The 19,258-nt window shown below is 41.4% G+C and overlaps 2 protein-coding genes and 1 long non-coding RNA gene across 11 annotated transcripts in view, besides 1 other annotated feature; 1 reads left to right on the top strand and 2 right to left on the bottom strand.

Moving 5' to 3' along the window:
* Nucleotides 1-13,230, bottom strand: part of C1orf105 (chromosome 1 open reading frame 105) — a 48,145-nt gene extending 34,915 nt beyond the window's left edge. For 3 of the 5 annotated variants that reach the window (NM_139240.4, XM_011510154.3, XM_011510156.3), the window contains exon 1: nucleotides 13,009-13,230. In NM_139240.4, the coding sequence (NP_640333.3) occupies nucleotides 13,009-13,029 (21 nt within the window). In that variant the 5' untranslated portion in view covers nucleotides 13,030-13,230. Of the gene's footprint in view, nucleotides 1-3,579; nucleotides 3,624-5,084; nucleotides 5,122-13,008 lie in introns of all 5 variants that reach the window. The other 2 variants (XM_011510152.3, XM_011510153.3) reach the window with 2 other exon arrangements.
* Nucleotides 4,565-5,087: an enhancer, noted in NCBI's record as "NANOG hESC enhancer chr1:172397968-172398490 (GRCh37/hg19 assembly coordinates)". NCBI's record gives its function as "activates a minimal SCP1, AML or CMV promoter by ChIP-STARR-seq in naive H9 embryonic stem cells {active_cell/tissue: H9 hESC(naive)}" and the evidence as "EXISTENCE:reporter gene assay evidence [ECO:0000049][PMID:30033119]".
* Nucleotides 10,559-19,258, top strand: part of LOC102724528 (uncharacterized) — a 29,606-nt gene continuing 20,906 nt past the window's right edge. The window contains exons 1-2 of one of the 2 annotated variants that reach the window (XR_922284.4): nucleotides 11,449-12,200; nucleotides 18,541-18,621. This is a non-coding gene — a long non-coding RNA (uncharacterized LOC102724528). Of the gene's footprint in view, nucleotides 11,419-11,448; nucleotides 12,201-18,540; nucleotides 18,622-19,258 lie in introns of those variants that run through there. The other variant, XR_001738294.3, reaches the window with a different exon arrangement.
* DNM3 (dynamin 3) overlaps nucleotides 15,449-19,258 on the bottom strand; it is a 576,969-nt gene continuing 573,159 nt past the window's right edge. For 3 of the 4 annotated variants that reach the window (XM_017000979.2, NM_001350206.2, XM_017000984.2), the window contains one exon: nucleotides 15,449-15,634. In XM_017000979.2, coding sequence (XP_016856468.1) covers nucleotides 15,598-15,634 — 37 coding nt within the window. In that variant the 3' untranslated portion in view covers nucleotides 15,449-15,597. Of the gene's footprint in view, nucleotides 16,816-19,258 lie in introns of all 4 variants that reach the window. The other variant, XM_047417389.1, reaches the window with a different exon arrangement.

Below are 19,258 nucleotides of genomic sequence, written 5' to 3'. Positions count from 1 at the left end.
GTAGGTCTTCCTCCATCCTTTTATTTTGAGCCTATGTGTGTCTCTGCACGTGAGATGGGTCTCCTGAATACAGCACACTGATGGGTCTTGACTCTTTATCCAATTTGCCAGTCTGTGTCTTTTAATTGGGGCATTTAGACCATTTACATTTAAAGTTAATATTGTTATGTGTTAATTTGATCCTGCAATTGTGATGTTAGCTGGATATCTTGCCCGTTAATTGATGCAGTTTCTTCCTAGCATCGATAGTCTTTACAATTTGGCATATTTTCGCAGTGGCTGGTACCAGTTGTTCCTTCCCATGTTTAGTGCTTCCTTCAGCAGCTCTTGTAAGGCAGGCCTGGTGGTGACAACATCTCTCAGCATTTGTTTGTCCGTAAAGGATTTTATTTCTCCTTCACTTATGAAGCTTAGTTTGGCTGGATATGAAGTTCTGGGTTGAAAATTCTTTTGTTTAAGAATGTTGAATATTGGCCCCCACTCTCTTCTGGCTTGTAGGGTTTCTGCTGAGAGGTCTACTGTTAGTCTGATGTGCTTCCCTTTGTGGGTAACCTGACCTTTCTTTCTGGCTGCCCTTAACATTTTTTCCTTCATGTCAACCTTAGTGAATCTGACAGTTATGTGTCTTGGGGTTGCTCTTCTCAAGGGGTATCTTTGTGGTGTTCTGTGTATTTCCTGAATTTGAATGTTGGCCTGCCTTGCTAGGCTGGATAATATCCTGAAGAGTGTTTTCCAACTTGGTTCCATTCTCCCCATCACTTTCAGGTACACCAATCAAACGTAGATTTGGTCTTTTCACATAGTCCCATATTTCTTGGAGGCTTTGTTTGTTTCTTTTTACTCTTTTTTCTCTAAACTTGTCTTCTTGCTTTATTTCATTAATTTGATCTCAATCACTGATACCTTTTCTTCCACTTGATCAAATCGGCTATTGAAGCTTGTGTATGCATCACATAGTTCTCGTACCATGGTTTTCAGCTCCATCAGGTCATTTGAGGTCTTGTCTATGGTGTTTATTCTAGTTAGCCATTCATCTGTCCTTTTTTCAAGGTTTTTAACTTCCTTGCGATTGCTTAGAACATGCTTCTTTAGCTCAGAAAAGTTTGTTATTACTGACCTTCTGAAGCCTACTTCTGTCAACTCATTAAAGTCATTCTCTGTCCAGCTTTGTTCCATTGCTGGCGAGGAGCTGCGATCCTTTGGAGGAGAAGAGGCGCTCTGGTTTTTAGAATTTTCAGCTTTTCTTCTCTGGTTTCTCCCCATCTTTGTGGTTTTATTTACCTTTGGTGTTTGATGTTGGTGACCTACAGATAGGGTTTTGGTGTAGATGTCCTTTTTGTTGATGTTAATGCTATTCCTTTTTGTTTGTTAGTTTTCCTTCTAACAGTCGGGTCCCTCAGCTGCAGGTCTGTTGGAGTTTGCTGGAGGTCCACTCCAGACCCTGTTTGCCTGGTTATCACCAGCGGAGGCTGCAGAACAGCAAATATTGCAGAACAGCAAACATTGCTGCCTGATCCTTCCTCTGGAATCTTCGTCCCAGAGAGGCACCCACCTGTATGAGGTGTCAGTCGGCCCCTACTGGGAGGTGTCTCCCAGTTAGGCTACCTGGGGGTCAGGAACCCAATTGAGGAGGCAGTCTGTCTATTCTCAGAGTTCAAATGCTGTGCTGGGAGAACCACTGCTCTCTTCAGAGCTGTCACACAGGGACGTTTAAGTTTGCAGAAGTTGTCTGCTCACTTTTGTTCAGCTATGTCCTGCCTACAGAGGTGGAGTCTATTGAGGCGGTAGGCCTTGCTGAGCTGCAGTGGCCTCCACCCAGTTTGAGCTTCCCGGCTGCTTTGTTTACCTACTCAAGCCTCAGTGATGGAGGACGCCCCTCCCCCAGCCAGGCTGCTGCCTCACAGTTTGATTTCAGACTGCTGTGCTACAGTGAGCAAGGCCCCATGGGCATGGGACCCACCAAGCCAAGCACGAGAGAGAATCTCCTTGTCTGCCGGTTGCTAAGACCTTGGGAAAAGCACAGTGTTTGGGGCAGGAGTGTCCTGTTTTTCCAGGTGCAGTCTGTCACGGCTTCCCTTGGCTAGGAAAGGGAAATCCCCCAACCTCTTGAGCAATCCAGGTGAGGCGATGCCCCGCCCTGCTTTGGCTCACCCTCCATCGACTGTACTCACTGTCCAACCAGGCCCAGTGAGATGAACCAGATACCTCAGTTGGAAATGCAGAAATCACCTGTCTTCTGCATCGATCACGCCGGGAGCTGCAGACTGGAGCTGTTCCTATTTGGCCATCTTGGAATGGAAGCCTGCATCAATGTTCTTAGCTAGATCTTCTGGATAACTTGCAGCTTCCATATGAGCACTTGCTGCTTTAGTGTGCACTTTTATGTTACAGAGATGGCTGTTTTCCTTAAACCTCATGAATCAACCTCTCTTAGTTTCAAACCTTTCTTCTGCAGCTTCCTCTCCTCTCTCAGCCTTTGTTAAATTGAGAAGAGTTAGCGCCTTGTTGTGGTTTATGCTTTGGCCTAAAGGGAATGTTGTGACTGGTTTAGCCTTTTATACAGACCACTATAACTTTATCTGTATTAACAGTAAGGCTCTTTTAGTTTCTTATCATGGGAGTACCACTTTTAATTTCCTTCAATAACTTTTTATTTGCATTCACAACTTGGCTGTTTGTCACAAGAGGCCTGGCTTTCAGCCTGTCTCGGCTTTTGATATGCCTTCTTCACTAAGCTTAATCATTTCTACTTTTGATTTAAAATGAGAGATGTGCAACTCTTCATTTGAACAGTTAAAAGCCATTGCAGGGTTATTAATTGGCTTAATTTTGATACTGTTGTGTCTCAGGAAATAGGGAGGCCCAAGAAGAGGAAGAAAGACAGGGAAGAGCTGGTCAGTGGAGCAGTCAGAACACACACACATATCCACTAAGTTTGCCCTCTTATATGGGTATAGTTTGTGGTACCCCAAAACAATTGCAATGGTAACATCAAAGATCACTGATCACAGATCAGCATAACAGATATGATAATAAAGTTTGAAATATTGTCATAATTACCAAAATGTGACACAGGAACACAAAGTGAGCACATGCAATTGGAACAATGGCACTGACAGACTTGCTTAACACAAGGTTGCCACAAATCTTCAATTTGTAAAAAATGCTGTATCTGGCTGGGCGCAATGGCTCACACCTGCAATCTCAGCACTTTGGGAGGCTGAGGTGGGAAAATTGCTTGAACCCAGGAGTTTGAGACGAGCCTGGGCAACAAAGTGAGACTTCTGTCTCTACAAAAAATTTAAAAAATTAACTGGAGGTGGTGATGCGTGCCTGTGGTCCCAGCTGCACGAGAAGTTAAGGCAGGCAGATCTTGAGCCCAGGAGGTCGAGAATGCAGTGAGTTGTGTTCACATCACTGCACTCCAGCATGGGCAAAAAGCAAGACCCTGTCTCAAAAATAAATAAAAAAAGGTTTAAGAAAAATTGCAAATTAAAAATTCATTAAACGTTCTATTAAGAAAATGTCAAGCAATCCAGAGCCCTTAACTGCTGCCATCAGAAGGATGATGAGGCTCACCTGTGGCATGCCTCTTTGTGGGCTGCTGGCACAAGGATTCAGGCCTAGAAAACAATTGGTATAAAGTAGTATGACAGTTGTGGTGGGAAGTTACTCATCACTTAAATTCAGTGATCTAGTCAGTCTCTTATATTTAAACCACACTGAAAGGGTGCAAGTAGAATATGAATGATTTAGAGTTTTAGAGAATACTGTGGTGTGTGTGGGAAAGGGGGAAAGGTGAGGAGGAAAAGTTTACAGTAGCATTGGAATTAAATCCCAACCTGCCAAATATTTGCCAGCATAAGAAGCTGTCTGCCCTTCTCCCTCTACACCCCTTCCTCCCAGCTCTGCTTCTTATCACTCTAAGTTACAGGTAAGGCTGGAGGGTGGTGTGGCAAGTGAGATCAAGGACAGAGGAATGGGGAGGCAGCTTTGCTCACACTTCCAAAATGGTGCCAAGGATTAAGGATTAAAGTTGGTATGGGAGGGATTAAGAAGAAGTAGAGCAATAGGATGACAGGTGCACTTTATTTTGTGGCGTGATGCAGCTGATTTATGATTGGCATGTAACTAGAAGGCTTGTGCATCTGGCTGTAGCAACATGCCTGGTGTTCTGTGTGGAGATTGTATTGGTGTCAGTAAACTTTTGAGAAATACTTTGGGCAGCTGGGTTACATTGTGGATTTAATAATTCATACCAAGCATATAGAGGATGCATATTGAGCCATCATTTACATCCTCCAAGCCAAAGGCTCAAGGACAAGAAAAAGAAAACAAGTCAGCAGAGGGCATCAGTTACATAGTTATACAAAATTTCAAACCTGTTGTATTTAGGGAAACAGGGCTGGGACACAGTGCCATCTTGTGGAAGTGATTGATTTCCCTTTTTATAAGAGATGCAATTAGAGTCTTGAAATTCTTGCTGAATTGTGGTTTGGGAAATAACTACACCTGAATTAATGAGTCTGAGGTCTCCATAAATTCAGGAGGTAAATAGCATACTGGGGTTTGATAAATAATAGCACCTGTATTTTAGAGCACCCAATGCGTGCTAGGTAACGTGCTATGCACGTTGTGTGTGTATGTGTGTGTGTGTCTGTGTGTGTGTGTGTGTGTGTGTGTGTGTGTGTATATTTGTATTTACTTCTCACAGCAATCCTGTAAGAGGTTTTATTTCCATTTCACAGTTGAGACTGAGACTCAGAGTGGGTTAAGTATTGCCTAAGGCTATGTTACCAACTTGGGCTAATACTTTGCTTTTCTTACACAAAGCCTGTGCTTGTGCCTGAATGGAGCCCAGGACTGAAGGATAATGGTAGGCAGTTGCTTTTAATGCTTTGTCAAATTCCTCATCGTTCCCTTATCCCTTATTCTCTTCCCCCAGTATCCAACAGTATCCCCCAAAATCCAACAAAATATTTAGTATCTACATAAGCTTCCCTCTACTCACCTTCTACCATTCAGATTTTTATAGTGTGTGGCTTCAGGAATTTATTGTCAATAAATATTTTTTGAGTACTTACTGTATGACAAATACTGTTCTGTGTGCTTGGAATATATCTGTAAATAAAAAGGACAAAGGTTCTTGACCTAGTAGAGCTGACATTATAGCAGGAGGAGATAGATAATAAACATAAATGGAAGGTAGTAAGTGCTATGGAAAAAAGAAAAAAGTGGCATAGCATTAAATAAAGAGGTCAGAGTAGGTCTCATGGGAAAGGTAACATTTTACCAAAGACTTGAAGGAAGTGAGGGAGTAATTCAGATTCCCTGGGGAAGAGCATCCCAGTCAGAGGGAAGAGCTGCAGAGGAAAGAGCTGCTACAAAACCTTTGGGCAGAAGAATACCTGGCATGTGTGGGGAATAGCAAGGAGTGGCTGAAGTGGAGTGAGCAACAGAAGACGAAGTCGTAGAGGTAACGTGGGAAGCTAGATTATGTATGACATTGTAAGCTACTAGCTTAGGCTTTTACTCTGAGATAGGAGCCATTGGAGGGTCATGGAGAAAAAGAAGATACATATTTTGAAAGGCTCATTCTGGTTGCTGTAGGGCAAGAGTAGACACAGGAAGAAGCATTTGGAGGCTTTTGCAGTAATACAAGCAAGGGATAATGGTGGCTCAAAACAGAGGATGGCAGAGGAAGTGGCGGAAAATAGTCACGTTCTATATGTAATTTGAAAGTAAAGACAGTGGGGCTACCTGATGTATTAGATGTAGAGTGTGAAAGAAAGAGAAGAGTTATAAATTAAGGTTTTTCCCCTGAACAAACTGAAATATGGATATGTTGTTAACTGAGGTGGGGGCAGAGGGATGGTAACTGGAGATTTTGGGGAGGAAGATTAGGAGTTTAGTTTGGTGCACGTGGGATAGGAAATGTCTTGAAGACATTCAGCCTGAAATGTTGAAGGGAATATAGGAAATATGACCTTGGAGTTTGAGAGAGATGAAATTCAGATATAAATTCGGGATTTGTTGGCAATATAAATGATATTTAATGCTGTGAGACTGAATGAGATCACCAAGGAAATGGTTATAGACAGAAAAGGACCAAGAACTCCAAAGTAAAATGTTGAGGCGAAGAAGAAGCAAAAAGATTTGGACAGCAAAACCACTGAGGCAAGGGAAAAGCAAGAGAATTCTGTGTCCTGCAAACCAAGTGCTGAATGTGTCTCCAGAGAGAGTGGGTGATCAAATGTGATCAGATAAAAACATGATAAAGCAAGTAAGACAGCTGAAAATTGACCTTTACATTTAAAAGAGCAGGTTTTTGTTGGAGTGCTGGAATAAAAACCTGTTTGGTGTGGGTTTAAGAGAAAATAGAAGAGAAATTTAGCAGCAAGTATAGACAGCTTTATAGTTTTGCTTCAAAGGGGAGCCAGGAAATAGGACAGAAACTGAAAGGGAAAGTGAAGACCAAAAAAATGATAGCATGTTTGCACCCTGATTGAAATGAAATGGTAGAGAGTTGTTAGTTGATGGTGTGAGAGAGGGAAGAATTGCTGGGGAAATATTCTGGAGTACATAAGTGCACAAGTGCAAAGCCTGGCTTTCGACAAGGGCAGGGATGGTTGATCTATGGGAACAAGTGAGAAGACAGAGTAGATGAATACCGATATTAGTAAATGGGTAGATGAGGTGATGAGAGTCTTTGGGAGTTCTTTTCTGATTGCTTCAATTTTCTCAGGGAAGTTGGAGGCAAGGAATCAGCTGAGATTGAGGATAGGGGAGTGAGAGAAAAGGTGTGAAACAACTTAGGACATTGGGAGAGTGAATGAACAAGGGATGCTTAGTGTAACTGCTTGGCAGTATTAAGGGCTCACTTGAATATGGTGGTGATTAATTTAAAGTGAAACCAGTTATCCTGGCTTTGTTCTTTGCTTGTGTGTGTGCTTTCCAGACCATGTACAGTTACATGGGTGCAAACCAGAGTAGGTAGAGAGTTAGATTTACCCAGAATGGTGGTTTTAACAAATTGAGAGAAGGGCAAGGGAGACAGGTATATATGCATGGGCATGATGACAATGATTGACCATTCAATTTAAGTTGGGTAAGGAGAGTGAACCTCAAGAAGGGTGAAGGACAGAGGGCTGAGGGACAGCATAAAGGTGAATAGATTGGAGATCCAAGAGATTAAAACAATAGAAGTAGGCTAGAAAGATAGGATATAGAGATGAGAGAGTGGGGAAAGACAAGGTTTTAATTTTGGAAATGAGTAGCTGAGATAGAGTGGAGAGCAAGATCATTGCAAGATCTCACTACTTAGCACTCAAGTAGAAGAAAAAAAAAAAGACCATTGAAAGAGTGAAGTCAAGAAAATGAGAGGCAGGGTGAGGGTGGATTACCAAGAAGCGTATGAAAATCCCCAAGAATTAAAACAGGAGTATCACTGGAGGGAGTGACATTGAAACAGGAGCTAAAATCATCAAGAAATAAGGGAGAATGAATTGGGCATTGGTAGTTAAAAGCAACACATAGGGTCATGTAGATAGTGCTGTAATCTGATGCCATGAGGTTCAAAGCTGGGGGTTTTAGCGAGGAGGAAAGAAGAATGGTCTGAAAACAAAACAAAAAATGAGGATAACTACCCCACTTCAGGCTCAGCAGTGTGAGGGCTGTGGGAGACAAGCTGCCACCTTTGGAAAAGGATGCAGGGGAGGCAGTCCTTTCAGAGAAACTCTGGTTTGTTAGAGTAAGATTGTGAAGTGCATATCCAGAGAATAGGTTGAAGATACAGGGAATTTTGTTGATCATGGGCAGTGAATTATAGAGGAGACAGTGGAAGGGTTACAGAAATTTGGGAGAGATGGGAAGACAGAATAGGAACATACAGAACTGCATGGAAATTAGCGTGGAGAGTGGCCTAGAATCCAGGGGTTCTTGGATGATTGACACAGGCTGGGATAAAAGGTTAATGACATAAGTTCCAGTAAGTGTAAGGCAGATAGTAGTAGTGAGCGTGTGAGTGGGTGGGTAGGGAGGGGTGAATTTTGGGGGCTTCCTCTTCACCTTGAAGGAGATGTGTTCTCAGAATGTAGGCCTTTTCACATCCTCATGAGCATATTATTGCTCACTAATGGGATTAATGTGCTAGTTCTCTGGGTTATGTGCATTTTGACAAGGACCTTTTGGGGATAATATCACAAACCTCCTCAGAACAGTGCAAACTTCTAATAGCAAGCAGTGTCATTGTAGTGCTCTAAAAATTTTGATTTTGGGCAAAGTGATCAGAGCTTAGGTGAGAGCCAGGGTTTGACCAACATTCTGTGGAAGGTTGGGCCTGATAAGGCATACTCCTTTGGCCACCAAGAGGGCTCAGCTGCAGGGGAGAGGCAGATTAGAAACAGCTGAAGGCTTGTTGGGCCTGCTAGCTTAGACCACGCCTATACTTTTTGCTTTTTTTTCCTTTCGTAACTCACAGATGCCATCAATGTTGGTGTAACTTGACGAACAATAACCATCATCAAAAAATTAAAACATCATTTTCCTCCAGGTATATTACTGTGATTAATGAGATAATTCCCCAGAGGTGGGGTAGTCAGGAAGCAGCCATTTCCCAATTGGCTGGCATGTGCTCAGCACCACAAGTCTGGCAACACTATTTGGTGCTGCCTCCTTATGCCCATCAGGTAATGCTGGGGTAAAAGTACCCAAGGAAAGGGCTTAGAAAGACAAATGGCCTTTTCTGCCACCAAATGGAACCAACTGGCATTGAGAATCAAGTAACATCCAGTATGATCCTAAGGTCTTCTGTCCTAAACAGACTAGCTCTGTAATTCTTTGACCATAATACTACTAGGATGATGGAACAAATTGATTTTACCAATGCTGAGGTCCCTCAGGCTCCCACGAAACCTGGCTCAAGAGGAGCTGCTTCTACTTTACAAGCTCTGTTGGCTCACTGCTTGCCACTCCAGGCTGGCCCTGTGGCCTTGTGCTGGGCCCGAGTGACATTTGAACTCTGGTCAGTGAGAACACTGTGGGCCTCACACTCTTTTTAAGTTGCAAAATAAATAGATCTTTAAGACATTGAGCAGATTTTGTGGATGTAGCTGAGAATATTTTTGTCATTAAAAGAAAAAAAAAGAGGCAGAAGGAATCATCTCTTTGACTCTAACTTGCTCTCCATTGCCTTCTGAATGTACCCTCAGAGATAAGAACAAGGAGGCCGGGCACGGTGGCTCACACCTGTAAACCCAACACTTTGGGAGACTGAGGTGGGCAGATCACTTGAGGTCAGGAGTTTAAGACCAGCCTGGCCAACATTGTGAAACCCCATCTCTACTAAAAATACAAAAATTAGCCGGGTGTGGTGGCAGGCACCTGTAGTCCCAGCTACTCTGGAGGCTGAGGCATGAGAATCTCTCGAACCCGGGAGGCAGAGGTGGCAGTGAGCCGGGATCGTGCCACTGCACTCCAGCCTGGGTGACAGAGCAAGACTCCATCTCAAAAAACAAAATAAAAAAGAGAAGGGAATATAACCCCTAAAAGCCTGAGAGGCTAATTTTTTGATAATGTTATGTGGAACATCAAAATACTTTGTTAGTAGCTGTTTTGAGAGGCAGAACCCACATTAGTGACTTCTTGGTTACTGCCTTGCAGATCCTTAAGTCTCTTTGGTCTTCTGCGGCTTGCTTAGGCTTTCTTTATTATCTACCCATGGCTCATGTTCATGAGGTTCATTGAAGATGTGAACTGGGGCTGAAAATTGGGATGTGACATAATGTATGATAAAACTTGATTTGATTAAAAACCGAGGATGGGAGTAGGAGTTTATAGTGTTGACTCATCCAATAGCCTGCCACCTAGTCTGATCTTAATATGTTGACAGTATTTAGATTCAATAGTAACTTGTAGCATCAAAAACAATAACAAAAATATATAAAGATGGTCCCTGACATACAATGGTTCAACTTGGAATTATTCTTTTGTCCCCTCTATATATTTTCAAACAGCCTGGCTTCAAGCTCACTAATTCTTTCTTCTGCTTGATCAATTCTGCTAACAGCCTCTGATGGATGCATCCTTCAGTATGTCAATGGCATTTTTCAACTCCAGAATTTCTGCTTGATTCTTTTTAATTATTTCAATTTCTTTGTTAAATTTATTTGATAGAATTCTGAATTCTCCCTCTCTGTGTTATCTTGAATTTTTTTGAATTTCCTCAAAACAGCTATTTTGAATTCCTTGTCTGAAAGGTCACTATCTCTGTCTCTTCAGTATTGGTCACTGATGTCTTATTTAGTTTGTTTGGTAAGGGCATGTTTTCCTGGATGGTCCTGTGCTTGTGGATGCTTGTTAGTGTCTGGTCTGGGCTTGTTTGTACCTGTCCTTCTTCGGAATGTTTTCCAGGTATTTGAAGGGACTTGGGTGTTATGATCTAAGTTTTTGGCCACTGCAGCCATATCAGCATTAAGGGGTACCCCAAGCCCAGTAACGCTGTGGCTCTTGCAGACTCATAGAGGTACCACCTTGGTGGTCCTAGATAATATCCAGAATAATTCTCTGGATTACCAGGCAGAGACTCTTGTTCTCTTCCTTTACTTTTTCCCAAAGAAACAGAGTCTCTCTTCCTGTGCTGAGTTGACTGGAGCTAAGGGAGGGGTGATATAAGCACTCCTGTGGCCACCACTACTGGGACTGCCCTGGGTCAGACCTGAAGCCAGCATAGCACTGGGTCTTGCCCAAGGCCCACTGTAACTATTACGTGGCTACCATCTATGTTCGCTCAAGGCTCTAGGGCGCTACAATCAGCAGGTGGTAAAACCAGCAAGGCTGTGTCCTTTCCTTCAGGGAATCAAGTTCCCCTGGGCCCTGGGTGAGTCCAGAGACGCTGTCTGGGAGTCAGGGCCTGGAGTTGGAAACTTTAGAAATCTACCTGGTTTTGTATTCTACTGTGGCTGACCTGGCACCCGAACCACTGAAGTCCTTCCCACCCTTTCCTGCTCTTCCCCAGGCAAAGGAGTTTCTTCTCATGTCCAACACCACCACAGGCCCATGAGGAGTACTGCTGGGATACTGCCAATGTTCACTTAAGGCCCAAGGGCTCTTCTGCCAGCATGTGTTGGATGCTGCCAGGAAAGTGACTTACCCTTCAGGGCAGTGGGCTCCTCTCTGGCCTAGAATAGGTCCAGAGATGCCATCCAAGAGCCAAGGACTGGAATCAGGGACCCAAAGAGCTGGCTTGGTGCTCTTTCCCACTGTGGCTAAGCTGGTACCTAAGCTCAAGACGGAGTCCCCTTTATTCTTCCCTCTGTTCTTCTCAAGCAGAAGTGGTCTCTCCTCGTAGCCACCAGACCTGTGAATGTGCTGGGTCACATCTGAAGCCAGTGCATTTCGGAGTTTCAGCTGAGGCCCACGGTATGTAGTACTTGGCTACTGCTACTGATTTTTCAGGGTCCAAAGGCTCTTTATTCAGCATGTGATGAAATCTGCCAAGACTGGGTCCTTCCCTTCAAGGCAGTTCCCTTTTGGCCCAGGGTATATCTAGAAATGTCATCCAAGAGCTAGGGCCTGCAATGAGTGCCTCAGGATTTTGCCCAGTACCCTATCCTACTCTGGCTGAACTGGTATCCAAGTTGCAAGACAAAGTCCTTTTCACTCTTCCCTCTTCTCTCCTCAAGCAAAGGAAGGAGTCCCTTTTGGAGCCATAAGCTGTGTTGCCTGGGGTTGGGGGAGGGGTGCTGTAAGCACTTACTTAGCCATCCTGGCTGGTGTCTTACTAGATCGTGCGCTCCCCAGTCCACTGGCTCAGAGCCCAGCACAGCACTAGGACTTGCCTGGGTATTGCAGTTGTTGTGGCCCAGACAGGCTTTCAAGTTTATTTAGGACCTCAGAGCACTTTAGCCCATGGTGGTGGAGGTAGTCAAAACTCAGTTTCTGAAACCTGGGATGGGCAATTCTCCTCTGGCTAAGGGTGGTCTAAATGGTCCCTCCATTGGCAACAGCTAAGTTCTGCCCCGTATTGGCAGCACTGAATTCTAGAGTCCCACAATCGCTGTGCCCTCCCTCCAAGTGCACAGATTCTCTCTCCACACTATGTGGCTGCTGCCAGGGGATGGGGGAGGGGTGGTGTCAGCAATTCAAGATTGTCTTTCTTATCTTCCTCAGTGCTTCTTTCAACAATACGAAGTTAAAACCAGGTACTGTGATCACTTTGTGATCACTGATTTTTGGTTCTTATGAAGGTGCTTTTTTGTGTAGATAGTTGTTAAATTTGATGTTCGTGCATGGAGAACAATCAGTGAAGGCTTCTGTTTGGCCATCTTGCTCTGCGTCCTCCCCAACTTAGGATTTTTTTACTTTATCATGGGTTCATCAGGGTATTGCATGCATTTTTGACTTACAATATTTTCAACTTGTGGTGGTTTATTGAGATGTAACCCTATCATAAGTCAAGGAGCACCTGTACTATGGTAATAGAGACAGCTAGTATATCCCTTTAAATAGGAAACATACAGTGTCATAAGCTCAATGTGATTTATTCAGATTTAGACCCTAGTAATTATAAAAGTCTATACAAGTTTTTTTTTCTTTCTCAGCAATCTTAACTTCCTGTGACTGAGATTCATTGTTTTAAAGTGCATTCACAGTTGAGAAGGTTTACTTCAGAATCTCAGGGAACTGCACTAAAGAATCTGGTATCAATTTTCTGAGGATTTAAAAAAATCATACTTAAATGCTGAGTTATAAAAGATGTTGGCAAGTACAACATTTTTTCCAAACTATACGATAAAGAGCATTGAAATTTATCATGCCCCAAACCCATTAAAATTATCTTCACCTGTAACTGAACATCAGCTGTTATTTCCTTACCTTCTTTTGGCTTTCAACTTCTAGGATGTCTGTTGAAACACCCCTCAATGTTTATGTGGCCTCCAAGGCATACAAACATTTACCAGGGTAACCCCATAAGGAAAGAATTGGAAGTTTCATTTATTTTTTTCCTACCTTTAGTTCTCTTTTTTCCATCTTTCAGATCTTTAGATGTTCTGAGTTTTTCTAGCTGGAGACTGGGGAAACCTAGCTCCCCTCACTGTGGCCAGTGGAAGACTGCTGTGGAGAACCTGAATCCAAAGTGTTTTTTGTTAGGAGACGAAGTAAACAGGCCAGTTTACAGTTTCAATACCAGTATGCCTTTTTCTCTACCAACATCTGTGTGATTTACATCTTGAATCATATAATTCCATTCAGAATGAAAAGCTCAGTTTCTGATTGGCTGAAATGAGTTCTAGTATTCCTTTCTTTGTTAGAAGTCAAAATCACAATGTTCTGGAACATTAGCATGTGTTGGGTAAAGTTGATAACAGTATACTAAAACTCAGATAGCTGCTTCAGTACTGAAGTCAGAACAGTTCTCCCTGGAAAGACAACCAAACTTTTCTCTTATTGTAGCACTACATTGTAATTGCTTATTTAGCTATTTTGTAAGCTACTTTTATTCTGTTACTTCTCTGGTATTCCCAGGGTCCAGGACATTATCATGAATTCAAGAAATGTTTGATGCATAAATAAAGGAATGAAAATATATAAGGAATATTATGTTTACTAAAGGCATAATAGTTTGGCTCTTCCTGACTATCCTGAGTTATGATCAACTCTGAAAAAGGGAGTAATTTTTCAAGTCTATTAAACATAGCAGGGTGGAGGTGGAGGTAAGAAGAGTTGGGGAAAGGTATATTATGAAACATAGAAATACTATTTACTAAATACATATTAACAAATCTTAGCATAATTTAATTTTACTCCAGGCTGCCCCCCATCCCTTTCCCCTGCCCTCTTTTTTCTTGCCTATAGAATGTAAGGAAGGGAACACACTTCTTTGTTAAGGAAAACTGAGTAAGGTTGTCATTTCATTCTGTTATGACTGGAGTTTTTCCTTCTCATCATTCATCAGGTCAATTTAAGTTTTATACATCTAAACTGTGTAACACTGCATATAAAAATAAGTCCATGTTTAAGACAAAGTGGAAAAGTACCAAACACTTTTAAAAAATGAATTGAAGAAAACCTTCTCTTTGACAACTTCGGTTTTCATTTGGGGAGGTGGTATGAAATCATCTAGGTACATTTTTGTCTATTGGGATGAAGAATGCTATCCACTAAGAATATTGATTTAAAAATCAAATGCCTGGACTGGAGGGGAAGGAAAGGACAAAAGACTGCATGCTATGTGCTATTTTACATCAAGTCACCTCCTTCCTGCTATACATGAGCTTCAGTTGATGCCTTGGTTTGGAGCCTTTGAACTTTCTTAGTTATCACTGATTTTAAATGGTAGTCACTGGACCGGGGATACAATTAAAATAATGTAACATGCCATATGAACATTTTAAACCAAGAAACTGATTTTTCATTTTTGAGTGGAGAACTCAGTCCTTAAAAAAATTTGTGGTCCGAAGAAACAGCATTACTAATGAGGACTCTCCCTTTTACAACTGGGGGTTCCTGCCCACATCTTCCAAATACCTCCTTTGCCAGGGCTTGCCTAGGTCAGATGTGAAGTAAATAGAACTGATGAATGATTTTTTTGACTCTCTTGTCATGTAGTTTTCTGTCATCTTAATATGCTGAAGGGGAGCACATTCAGAAGTGATCTCATTTGAGAAGGACTACTTTCAAGTTCTATTTTAGGCCACATAAATTTTCAAAAAATAAAATTCTGAATTAAATCTTAAACCTTTGGGAAGGCTTCAGATCACATATTTGGTGGAATGTACTATATTACCTAAATAATAAACATTTTATTTGGATACATCTTTGGGATGCTTGTTAAAAAATTATAGATTAAAATTTTAGTGTTAGAATTACCATTTGAGGATAGAGGAATAAAAAGTTCTCTATTCCTTCAAACTTATATGGACTCCATTTTTCTAGTGCTTTACTGACATCATGAAGAGTCTTTCTTCTCAAGGTGGCAACATTTCCTTGCCTTGTACTTTTATTCTGAATGATGTGGTTTTTCGCCCTTACATTTGCCATATAGAATTTATGAGGTTTATGTGTTTTTGCTCTACAGTTTCTTCTATGATCTTACATTTTATCTCCCTTAAGAGTGTTTAGAAAAACAATAATAGGAAAAAATATTTTGGTGCAATAATAAGTAAAAATGGGATTCCTGGAGGTGGATTGGAATTATTTAGTCTTCTGTGTTTTTTCTAGACATCCATAAATTTTCTTTTTCTTTTTATTCTTCTATTGGACAGAAATTTCACTTGAAGGTAGATTATTAGTCTCTACCAAAGACCGTCTTAAATCACAATGCTTTAAGAACTTTTGAATTAAGCTTCTTAGAGGAACACATAATATATTCACCTTACCTTGTTTTAGTTGAAACAAATTCTTTTTTAAATTTAGGTCTTCTTTAAAAAAAGAAACAGAACACACTTCATTTTTATATAGAATAAACTTTGTTTTTATTATACACATGGATGAAAAATAAAAGTTTTTATGTACATACGACATATAGTGCAAATGAAAAGCTTTTAAATACCATGGATAGACATGTTGTTGGAAACAAAAGGAGATGAATGATGGGGGTTAGGATGGTCGTCCTGGAACTGCAGGAGGGGGTCGCCTAGTAAAAACAAAACAAAACAAAACAAAATAACAAAAAGAAAGACACAGATGCAGAGGAAGAAAACAATGTTTAAATTATAAAATAAACCCAAATAATAGCATGCAAAAATAGCTCACAAAAGTCAAATTCAAATCACACACAAAAACATGCAGACATGCAAAGGAAATGAAGGGACATCACATAGCTAAGTTAGCAGTTCCCAGGACTTTTCCTGGCTACTAGCAATGTTCTAGGTATGAGCCATTTGAGCTCACTCAAAAAGCTTCTTATTTTGCACCATGGAATGATAAATCCATGCACTCTTATTCAGGAGAACTGGGACTAGTCCCCGAGCCAAATACCTTTATAACTTGTATATTTGATTTTCAACCCTGATTTTGTGAAACTCAGTTATTTCCAAAGATTTCAATGAATGTTGTGAAATCTCCATAGGGGGAGAGGGAGTTGATGTAGCCAATGGCAGGTTAAATTTTTTTTAAGTGAGGTAAATTAGAAGGTGTCAAGAGATCAAATGAGCAATGTAATCACAATGCAGAGAATGCCAGAGGTTGATCTCAGAAAAAAAGGATTTGTAAATAAGAATTTGCTCCAGGTGAGTAGTCCTGGTGTGTAATAGCCTGGATTCAGGCCTAGGGAAACTAGGAGGCAAGGTCTGGTCCATGGCAACCCCAGGATTTTCTAGGATTTCCCTCTGTCTAAGAGCTAGGTATAACTGTATTTCTGATTTGTTCTGAAGTGGGCCCAAGGTAAATGAAATCTGGTCTGCTGGATCTTTCTCCATTTCCCTAGGCTGGCTTGCATTTCATCAGACCTATGGATAATGAAATGAGGGTCCAAGTTGTGCTTCATTTGACATCAGCCTTTCTTGTGTTCAGCAGGGAGATGATTTGCAGCTAGAGAAAATACAGTAAACCCTACATTGCAATGAACAGCTTTGTAAGTAGGAAAACAGCAGGCCAAATAAAGCTTTCCCTCTGGTTTTTGGCAGAAGTCTACACTTTAATTTCCCCTTTCTAACCAAACCATTAATGAACTCAACATTATAGGAAGCTGTAGAATGGTGAGATTATCTCAAGACCCTACTCTCTTTGACTTCTTATCCAGGTGTTCAACAACGCTCACTTCCATCTTATTCTTGTTACACATCTTATTCTTGCTTGTGAGTGGAGCAATGAAGTCTATAAAAAAAAAACAAAAACAAAAACAGAAAAACTTCTTTTTCATTTTCTATGAGATGTTAGTGGAGCCAAACTGACTGGTGTATTTCTGGGCAGTGGTAAAAAATGATCTTAGCTTCCCCAAAGTCCAAAATCAATTTTCCTTCAGTCCAGTTTAAGCTGACTACACTAAAGAGGCCTCCCATCCATTTAAATGATGGAGAACTTGTTATTGGTACCTAACCTTTCAACTTCAGGGCCGGGGCAGGGGCTAGGGGGTCTGCAAGGCTTTAGCTTTAGAGATCCAGGTAATGGGTATCCCTGGTGTTTTCATGAAGAAAGTGTAATTAAATTTCTGTCGAGCTCAATGAGATTTATCACCTGCCCAGAAAACAGAAACTATTTTCGAGTTCTGAAGGGGCTTTAGAACACTTTAATGACCTCAGCAGGGTGGGGAGGTGGGCCATTAAACTGAACAGCAAGTCCACAGTGCTGAAGCGACATTCTGTTAGCATATGCCAAAACACTTTCCTGTTTGAGCTAGTTTGGTGTTCTGATCCAGAAACAGGATCAGAAACTTTATGTCTTGGAATATATTCCACTGACAGCTAGAATGTTTGCTTGAAACATCAGGGTGACATTTATATCCTCAGACAGCTTTTTCTTTTCATCTTCACTTTACTGTATCTACCCTTCCTGTCATTGCTGAAAAAGCATTGTTGTTGATGATACCATTTACTGGGTCAAAATTAGTTCTTTTAAGGATATGGGCAGTTGGGGTTTTTGCTCTTTCTTTTGCATAATTTTTATATGACTTACACAGTGCCGAAATGCTTAAAGGCAAGTGCTGCAAATATTTGGGCTTTTTACATGTAGAGCTACAAAGGTACCTCATACAATTGCCACTCCCATATGAAAGTTGCAGTACTAAATTGGAATACTGAGTTGCTAACAAATTCTTAAGCTCACCATCCTAGTATTCAACATATAAGCAAATTTACCTAATCAAGACTATAATTTCAGGTTATATTTTCTTAAGCATTCTGAAAAATAACTTCAAAGCAGCATGTTTTGGCCAAATCAGGTAAAGGAGATTGGAAAGCTGTATCTGGAACATGGGTGTAATTTATATATAAAAGACTCAATTATTAACAAGAATGATGAATTACCCTCATTCTTTTGGCTCTATGTCAACGCTGAAATTTGGTCTTATGGTGACATTCCTCTGGCCAGATCTCTGAGGAGGTCTTCCTTATAGCTTTTTTCTTTTCTGTTAAAATCTCACAAAAAAGGCCAGGTGCAGTGGCTCATGCCTGTAATCCCAGCACTTTGGGAAGCTGAGGTGGGCGGATCACTTGAGGTCAGGAGTTCGAGACCAGCCTGGCCAATGTGGTGAAATGCCGTCTCTACTAAAAATGCAAAAATTAGCCAGGCATGGTGGCACACGCCTGTAATCCTAGCTACTGGGGAGGCTGAGGCATAAGAATCACTTGAACTTGGGAGGTGGAAGTTGCAGTGAGCCAAGATCACACCACTGCATTGCAGCCTGGGCAACAGAGTGAGACTCTGTCTCAAAAAAAAAAAAAAAAAAAAAAACTCACAAAAAATGCTCTGTTTGCTTTCTTTGCCCATCCTTTAGGTAAGTTAATAACCCAGAGCAGTGAGTGAGCCTGAAGGCTTGGGAAAGGGAGGAAAGAAAGGCAATAGGAATAGTCTTCAACATTCTTCTCTGATGATTAATCTTAGATCAACCTGGATGCCTTCCTTCACAATAATCTCATGGAGGTAATTTAAAGAATCCCTTTTTTGGAGAGTCAGAGAGAAAAGGTAAGGTATAAAATTATCTGAATCCTTCATAAGTCTCATTAAGACTCAATGCATGTATGTCTCTAAACTGCTTTTGTGCTACCTGTTCCAATGTGACTTTCCTCCTTAAGAGTCAGATACTCCTTTGACAAAGTACCAGAGCTCCAGATGAATTGCCCTTAGTTGAGAGCTCTTGTTGCTCTTACATTTGGTCTTTTTCTTTTTTAAGAGATGGTGGGGTCCCATTCCACTCCTCAGGCTGGAATGCAGTGGCACGATCACAGTTCACTGCAGTCTCAAACTCCTGGGCTCAAGTGATCCTCCTGCCTCAGCCTCTCCGGTAGCTGGAACTACAGGCATGAGCCACCATGTCCAGCTAATTAAAACAAACAACTTTTTTTTTTTTTTTTTTAGAGATGAGGTCTTGCTGTGTTGCCAATCCGGTCTCAAACTCTTGGGCTGAACTGATCCTCCTGCCTCAGCCTCTCCGGTAGCTGGAACTACAGGCATGAGCCACCATGCCCAGCTAATTAAAACAAACAACTTTTTTTTTTTTTTTTTTTAGAGATGAGGTCTTGCTGTGTTGCCAATCTGGTCTCAAACTCTTGGGCTGAACTGATCCTCCTGCCTCAGCCTCCTGAGTAGTACATTTGATTTT

The sequence above is a fragment of the Homo sapiens genome, chromosome 1 (genome assembly GCF_000001405.40).
Source record: "Homo sapiens chromosome 1, GRCh38.p14 Primary Assembly".
NCBI classification, from domain to species: domain Eukaryota; kingdom Metazoa; phylum Chordata; class Mammalia; order Primates; family Hominidae; genus Homo; species Homo sapiens.
Note: the sequence above shows the minus strand (reverse complement) of the source record. Positions and strands in the feature narration are given on the sequence as shown.